Raw genomic sequence first — 9460 nt, 5'->3', positions numbered from 1 at the left:
GCCATCAACTGTAGTTTATTTAAAATGGAGCAAAAAGGCTCAGGCTCTCCCTCTCCCCTCTCCCCTCTCCCCTCTCCCCACGGTGTCCCTCTCCCTCTCTTTCCACGGTCTCCCTCTGATGCCAAGCCGCAGCTGGACTGTACTGCCGCCATCTCTGCTCACTGCAACCTCCCTGCCTGATTCTCCTGCCTCAGCCTGCCGAGTGCCTGCGATTGCAGGCGCACGCCGCCACGCCTGACTGGTTTTCGTGTTTTTTTGGTGGAGACGGGGTTTCACTGTGTTGGCCGGGCTGGTCTCCAGCTCCTAACCGCGAGTGATCCGCCAGCCTCGGCCTCCCAAGGTGCTGGGATTGCAGACGGAGTCTCGTTCACTCAGTGCTCAATGGTGCCCAGGCTGGAGTGCAGTGGCGTGATCTCGGCTCGCTACAACCTCCACCTCCCAGCTGCCTGCCTTGGCCTCCCAAAGTGCCCAGATTGCAGCCTCTGCCCGGCTGCCACCCCGTCTGGGAAGTGAGGAGCATCTCTGCCTGGCCACCCATCGTCTGGGATGTGAGGAGCCCCTCTGCCTGGCTGCCCAGTTTGGAAAGTGAGGAGCATCTCTGCCCGGCCGTCATCCCACCTAGGAAGTGAGGAGCGCCTCTTCCCAGCCGCCATCCCATCTAGGAAGTGAGGAGCGTCTCTGCCCGGCCGCCCATTGTCTGGGATGTGGGGAGCTCCTCTGCCCGGCCGCGACCCCGTCTGGGAGGTGGGGAGCGTCTCTGCCCAGCCACCCCATCTGAGAAGTGAGGAGACCCTCCGCCCAGCAGCCACCCTGTCTAAGAAGTGAGGAGCCCCTCTGCCCGGCAGCCGCCCCGTCTGAGAAGTGAGGAGCCCCTCCGCCCGGCAGCCACCCCGTCTGGGAAGTGAGGAGCATCTCCGCCTGGCAGCCACCCCGTCCGGGAGGGAGGTGGGGGTCAGCCCCCACCCGGCAGGCCGCCCCCTCCGGGAGGGAGGTAGAGGTGAGCCCCCGCCAGGCAGGCCACCCTGTCCGGGAGGGAGGTGGGGGGTCAGCCCCCGCCCGGCCAGCCGCCCCGTCCGGGAGGTGAGGGGCGCCTCTGCCCGGCTGCCCCTACTGGGAAGTGAGGAGCCCCTCTGTCCGGCCACCACCCCGTCTGGGAGGTGTACCCAACAGCTCATTGAGAACGGGCCATGATGACAATGGCGGTTTTGTGGAATAGAAAAAGGGGAAAGGTGGGGAAAAGATTGAGAAATCGGATGGTTGCTGTGTCTGTGTAGAAAGAAGTAGACATGGGAGACTTTTCATTTTGTTCTGTACTAAGAAAAATTCTTTTGCCTTGGGATCCTGTTGATCTATGACCTTGCCCCCAGCCCTGTGCTCTCTGAAACATGTGCTGTGTCCACTCACGGTTAAATGGATTAAGGGTGGTGCAAGATGTGCTTTGTTAAACATATGCTTGAAGGCAGCATGCTCATTAAGAATCATCACCACTCCCTAATCTCAAGTACCCAGGGACACAAACACTGCGGAAGGCTGCAGGGTCCTCTGCCTAGGAAGGCCAGAGACCTTTGTTCACTTGTTTGTCTGCTGACCTTCCCTCCACTATTGTCCTATGACCCTGCCAAATCCCCCTCTGCGAGAAACACCCAAGAATGATCAATAAAAATAAAATAAAATAAAATAAAATGGAGCAAAAAGAAAAAGAGTTTTCAAAATCCTCTTTTAAAAAACAAGAATAGGCACCTACTAAAAATATTAAAATCTCAATTTAAAAACCTCTCACTGAACCCTGAAAGTTTATCAGTTTAAAAAACAAATGCATTAAAAAAAAAACCCCGTAGAATATGTCATGTCTTAGAGAATGAGCTCACAGTGATTCATTCCTAACATGGTTCTTAGGGGTAGCAACAGAGGGTGGTCCCTAGTCTAAAAGCCTAAGGGCACAGAGTGCAATCTCTGCCAAAGGCTTAAATTTCTATTTCAGGCATACAAAATTTATTCTAACTGATATGTATATCTTCATGGAAAAAAGGATTCCAAAGCTCATCAGAAATAATAAAAGTAAAAAGAACATTCAAAATATTATTTTGAAAAAAATGGAAGGGGAATTTATCCATGAAATATTCAAAAATACAGGAAAACTACACTAAGCAAGAATGAAACTGCTGCTACAAATAGGTAGCTTCATGGAAGAGTAGAGAAAGCCCAGAAACAGAAGCAAATCTAAATGAATTCTTAGTATACCATAAAGGCAGCATTTCAAAGACTAATTAAATAGCAAGTGATGCTGGTAAAGTGAAGTCTCCATAAATTAGGTCCTTATATTTCACCTATGCCACACTAAGTTCCATGGCTGAAACACACCCATACACACACACACACACACACACACACACACACACACACGGGAAGGGAGTACAAAACAGAGAGGAAGGAGGGGAGTTGGGGAGGAAGGGAGAGAGGAAGGAGGGAGAAGAAAGTATCCCCAGGCAAAACATCAAATACAGAAACCATAAAGATAATGCATTTAACTAGATAACTGTATTAAACTTCTTTTTTATCAAAGTTAATAAATAATAAAATAAAAAATAAAGTCTATTACAAATTGAAAAATATATTTGTAACATAGGCTTAAATGTTATCTCTCTAATACAGAAAGAGACCTTTCAGATTAATACACAAAATATCAACAGTATTAGAAAAATTGGTAAAGGACATTTATTACTCATTCATTCAACAATTATTTGTCAACTATCTAATCTATGGCAGCTGTTATTCAATGTTGACAGCACTGAAGAAAATAGAAGAATACATTTAAAAAAACACATAATATAAGACAGGTAAGTACTATGGAAAATAAAAACCTAAGCCAGGCACTGGCATGAAGGAAGAAGTAATTACGTGGAACAGAGTGATCAAAGGAAGCCTCTCATAACCTAGTAATCAATAAATGATGAAATCGAATGGACAATTTATAAACACTTCACAAAAATTCATAGAAATGCAAAAAATGCAAGATAAATTTTCTTCCCCATCAAATTAGTAATAATTGAAAGAAACTATAAAATTTGTATTTGTCAGAGTAAGGAAGTTAGCACTTGTATACAGAAACTAAATTAACTTTCACACAAATTCGAGCATTTTTGTAGGGATAAAAAGAAATAAATATGATACAAATGTGTTTTCTTATAATTCTAAACAATAAAATAAAAACAATATAAACATTCTGGCTACTAAAGGAAAGCAAATTATCTTTAATCTGAACACCCTTATAGAGCTCTTTTTATTTTTCTATATTCTATTCCTGTCTTTTTTAGGTAGTTTCTACTATGGTGACTGTAAAATTTTATAAATTAGCACTTTATTTTACACATTTCTTTATGTAGCAACATACCTATTGTTTTATTGGTTCAATAGGATGCCAGTAAATGAATATACCTTTCTCCACTATTGAAGGTCTAGATCTGTGGTCAACTATTAATGGCAAGACTGACAATTCGCTCCTAGTATAAGCTCTTCACCACTCATTTCGGACATAATCACCAACAATGATCTAATTAAAACTAACAAAAATTTAGCTTAAAAAAAATCTAACTTTTAAAGAAGACTGCCTGAAAGATGGATTTATATTATATCTACCACCACAATAAACCTCTATGTGTATTGAGTACTTATTATACCTCCAAGTACTGACTGATAGAATGAAGCCATCACAATTAGTCAGAATTTTCTTTTTAAAAAGCATCTATACTCTGAAGATACAAGACATACTTCTACATTTCCCCACCAGTATTTATAATCATGTAAAATCCAATTCTGTATTTACAAAATTACACCAATTTGAAGATAAAGTTTAGAACCTTCTTCTAGGTTTTGTGCTTAATAACAAAGACAAAATATACTATCATTAAGAAAGCACATCATTCACTGTCGTGTCAGGATTTTTAAAAAATGAAATAAGCAGAAAATAATGTGGTCAATTTTTTGTCCGTAATTAGTGTTGGAATATTCATAGAAAACATTGCTAAAGAATTGAAAAAATGAGTATTATGTGGGAGGTTTGCTATAGAGTTGGCTGAAATTACAATTAAAAGTAATGTCTCAGCTTATGGTATTTTCTGGGTTCTGTTTTAATAATGAAACAGCTTTTTCTGAGCTATTTAAAGGTACTGAAGAAGATATATTATCAAAGTAGAAATTACATTATGGAAAAACCATATAAATGTAATCTTGATATAACTGATTTAAGTTCAGTTTCCTTTACAAAATTGTTTTAAGTAAAATTACAGGTGCAATAGCACATTTGAAATTAATTTATTGGATTATTAGTCTTTTTGGCACAGAAGGTGAAAATAGACATGCATAAAGTGCTACAGAATGTTATTGGTATGGTTAATTTTATGTATTTTAAGAGATCCTCAAATTATAGTGTCATACAATATTGTGTAATGAAATAAATAAGAAATGACCTTAAAAATCTTTTATATCCTAAAAAGGTTTTCTGGTCATTTTGTGCCAAGTACCTAAGAGATTTGCCAAGCAAACATAAAGGTGCATTGTTCATTTTCCTTTTTCAAAAAGGCACACGTTCATTTTGTTTTTAATTTCTGTAATGACAAATTCACACCCATATTCTGCTAGCTAACAGAAATTTTCAGAAAAACAAACACTAAATATTTAACTTGAAGATATTTTACCAATAAATGAAAAAGTAGCTGCTACTATTTGGAAGAAAATGTCGCAAAGGAGAGAACATTTAAAAACAGATTGCTTTGAAATGTTTTCATATTACGTGATTTTAATGCCCAAAATATAAATGTGTCACTTGTAAAATCTCTCTTCTCTATGTGCTTAAAACAGAAGCAGAATTTTGTAACCCACTTAGTAATATTTTAGTTAAAAAAATTTCAATAAAGAGCTACAGTTGGATATAACATACTTAGATTATCTATTTAACTCGTAATGTCAACAGACTGACATGGGGACAGATTGAGATTTTAACAAAACCAGTTGTCTTTGTTTTGTGGTAGAGAGTTTGAAAAACTAGTAGCGCAATTCAATAAGTGAGGTCAATATTGCATTCCCTTTCAGCCAATGTCTTTGTGTAGTAAATTTTTCAAGTATGACAAGCATTAAAATGTCAGCCAAGGTAAATTGATTAACAATTTATGATAATGAATGGAATACAAGGAATGAATTATTGATATACATATCAACATGGATAAATCTCAGAATCACTTATCTGAATGAAAGAAGCTATGCAAAAAAAAGTACGTACTGTGTGATTTAATTCATATAAATTCTAGAATATTTAAACTAATTTATAGTGACAAAGAATTTCATTAGTTGCCTGGGAGTGGGACGAAGGAAGGGATAGTTTGCACAAGGACAAGAGGAAATTTTATTTTGAAGAGAGTGATAGAAATGTCTATCATTTTAACGGTGGTAATTCTTTCAAAGATGTATACGTGTCACATATTATCAAATTGTACGATTAAAATGTGTACAGTTTATTTTGCATCAATTGTATCTCAATAAAGTTGTAAAAAATCAAAATAACATCAATGAAAAGCATAAACTATAAATGAAAAAATAATAAATTCAACTTAATCAAAATTTAAAAATTTCTCTTTCAAAAGACACTATTAAGAAGACAGGCCACAAATATGGAGTACATATTTGTAAAGCACATATCTCATAAAGGACCGGTATCCAGAATATGTAAGGAATACTTAGAAATCAGTAATAAAAAGACAAAAAACTCAATTTAATAAATGGACAAAAGATTTGAAGAGTTTACTATAGAAGAGATACAGATGGCAAAATGAACACAAAAATACTCAGTATTATTAATCATTAAGGATATTTAAATAAAACTCAATAAAATATCCTTTTTTTTTTTTTACTGTTTTAGTTTATTTGGGCTGCCATAACAAAGTACCACAGACTAGATGTGTTTGACAACAGAAATTTATTTTCTCACAATTCTGTAGGCTGGAAGTTCAAGGTCAATGTGTTGATATGGTTGGTTTTTTTCTGAGGTTTCTCCCCTTGGCTTATTGATGGCCGTCTTCGCCCTGTGTCTTCACAAGTTCATCCCTCTGTAACCGTTTATGTCCTAATCAATCTTCTCTTATTTCTTTCAAATTGAATACTTTATTAAAATGGTAGTTGTCTTTCTAACATGTGCACACATCCTTGCACACTCAGAATGATCTGCCTGGGGGAAAAGTACTGAGTATGCCTAAGGAGAAAATGAAAAACAAATTGCTGTAGGGTTTTCATTATTACAGGCAATTATGTCCAGATGACTTACAAAGCTATTGCCAAATCCATCCAAGGAAGCAGAGTATGAAAAGGAGGGAAAATATTTTAAAAATTCAACAGTGGCATAGCAGAACTCTCAATATAAGAAAGTGACACAATGTGGACTTTTGCTGTGAATTTTCACTTTGTAAATATGGGGAGAGGTTAACCAATGGGCAGAAAATTAGAGAAGGTGATATGTGATAGGCTTTTTGCAGTCAATATTTCTCACAGTATTGTGCAAGATCGTCAAGAAAATGCTTAGTTATTCTCTGGAACCAGTTTTAGAACTTTTCCATTTGCAAGTCTTGCCCTCATCTGTTAAGGTAAAATGACGCACCTGAGGAAGTCTTTAAAGGTCTCAAGGCAGATGGTTCCTGCTCTCCTTAAATGAGCAATGCATACTTGATCTTGCTTCACAAAACAGGGTTGAGTCTTATTTTCTATCTACCAAGCAGATTTAGGCTGTTATTTTGACTTCCTCGATACAGGTGTGAATTTGCAGCACTGAATTAAATTCTGGGCAGATGACAGATCTATGCTCTGTAATCACTATCTAAGCACCGAATGTGCCTCCAGAATGACCACGATTATTAACATCACAAAGTATTAATCCTGGAAGAATTTCCTCTTCTTCAACTCCTTTCAGTCTGATTTTGAGCTTTTCATCTGGGGCTACAGTATCAGCTTCTACATCATTGGCAAGTGTTCCAAGACCTTCCACATTGTGCTTTTCTGGCATCATCACAAGCTGCTGGCCTTTACAAACAGACCGCCTGATTCCAGCTTTCCCAGGACAACAGTGCCCATATCCTTGTACTTACCCAAAATTGGCAGCCTGATTGGTACAGCAACTGATCTATTGAAGTCTGACAAATTACCTAGATATGTAATAAACAGTAATCCAATGTACTAAGTACAGAAATTCAATTGCTCTTTGAAATTTCCTCCAGTTAGTCCTGAGCAGGCATAAAGTGAATGCAGTTTTTGGGAGTGAAGCCAACTTTTTTCAAAATGGCACTAGTTTCTCTTTATATTCTTCATATCTCTCATTGCTCCAATTTGCTCTTGGATCATTCATCTTATTAATAAATAGAATTAAGTGTTTCACACTTGCTGCCTTTGCTAACATTGCACGTTCTCTTGTTTGTCCTTTTATCAAATCCAATTTCAAGCTCTCTTCTCCTGGCTGAGATTACCAGCGCAGCCAAATCAGCTTGAGAGACACCACCAATTGTATTTGGGATGAAGCTCTTGTGACCAGAGGCATCTAGAATTGTAAAATATTTATTTTCAGTTTCAAAATAGGCAAAACCCGCTTCTATTATTTTATCCTTGTCTCAATTTTCCTGATTTGTGTCTAAGAGTCAAGACAAGTACTAAGTTTCTCTGTTTCTTTTTTAACTTCTGTTTCATACATTTCAAATACCCTGTTTTCACCCATTTCAGTCAAATACAGTATTTGTCTTCCAGTGGTTGAATTGCCAGCATCTACATGTGCAATGTACACTGCATTTTCTTTTGAGACAAGACCTCTCTCTGTTACCCAGGCTGGAGTGCTGTGGCATGAGGGGCTTAATGTAACCTTGAACTCCTGGGCTCATATGATCTTCCCAACTCAGCCTTTGGAGTAGCTGGGACTACTGGTGCACACCACCATGTGCCATGCACCAGTATTTTTTTTCTTTTAAGAGATGGGGTCTTGCTGTGTGGCCCAGGGTGTTGCTCTTGGACTCCGGGCTTCAAGCAATCCTCTCACCTTAGCCTCCCAAAGTGCTAGGATTACAGGCCTGAGTGCCTTTTAGGAGTGCATGGTGACACAACCACAGATTTAGGTTTTGGTATTTCATCTTCCTTCTTCATTATTTCCTGGACACTTTTCTCTGGTGGCCTTACATCTCCCCAGGAACCATCTCCTGGCTCTGCTTCACTTATTTCTTCTACGTGCTTCCCTAATCTTCTCGTCTTATGAGGAGACCAGTCATTTTGGATTAGGACTCACACTAGTAACTTCATTTTAACTTGATTACCTCTCTAAAGACCCTATCACCAAATAAGATCACACTCTGAGGTACTGGGTGTTAGGACTGCCACATATGAATTTTGGAGGGATACCATTCAGCCCGTAACACAGACTTACTAGAATGACCAAAAAAAAAAAATACTTTTATTGGATATATAAAGTGCTAGTGAGGATGTGGAAGACTAGGATGCTCATTCACTGCTGGTGGTGATATGTAATGGTTTGCCCACTTTAGAAAACATGCACTTACCATATAAGCAGAAATATCACTGTTAGGTATTTACCCAAGAGAATTAAAACATATATTCACACAGAGACTGTATACAATTTTTTATAGCAGTCATATTCATAATAGCCCAAAACTGCAAACAACCAGAATATCCATCAACTGATGAATGAATTGTTGTATATCTATATAAGAAATACTACCCATAAATAAAACAGTAATAAACTACCGATAAATTCAACAGGATGTTTAAACCTCAAAAGCATTATGCAACATGAAAGAAGCCAGATACAAAAGTGCTACAATGTATAAGACTCTCCGGAAAAGGAAAAGTTCTGGCTCTCATCAGCACTGATTGGCATAATCTTAGTTGCTCTTTATTATATGGAGGAAGACTCTTTTCATTATTTTTGTTAGATTTGTGAAAACCAAAGGGAAAAAATTATAGGGAGAGAAATTGAGTAATTGCCAGGAGCTGGGGTTAGGGGCAGGAAATTGATTGAAAAGAGGAACAGGGAGACTTCTTGAGGTTAGGGAAATATTCTTTATCTTGATTGTGGTAGTGGTTAGAGAACTACATACATTTGTCAAAACTCATTAAACTGTATTCTTTAAAAGAATGAATTTGACTGTGCAAATTTTGTCAAAATAAGCTTGATTTTTAAAAAGTATTAAAAACAGTGGTCTTAAATGAAGACCATGGAATTGCTGCAATAGATAATATTAAATCAACATTTTCAAAAATAGAAGGTATACTCAATCACTATGTCCTAACCAAAAAATATTACTGATGACATTTTAATTCATCCTTTTTCAATTTCTCTTGTGTGTATGCCTATATAATATATATTATCATGTAATAGAATATATTAACACATCAGTACATGTGTATAATTTACACATAAATA

General features: G+C 37.9%; 1 pseudogene; it reads right to left on the bottom strand.

Annotated features, from left to right (window-relative positions):
* LOC643855 (G1 to S phase transition pseudogene) lies at positions 6138-8265 on the bottom strand (annotated as a pseudogene).

This window comes from Homo sapiens, chromosome 11 (genome assembly GCF_000001405.40).
Source record: "Homo sapiens chromosome 11, GRCh38.p14 Primary Assembly".
In the NCBI taxonomy this organism is placed as follows: domain Eukaryota; kingdom Metazoa; phylum Chordata; class Mammalia; order Primates; family Hominidae; genus Homo; species Homo sapiens.
Note: the sequence above shows the minus strand (reverse complement) of the source record. Positions and strands in the feature narration are given on the sequence as shown.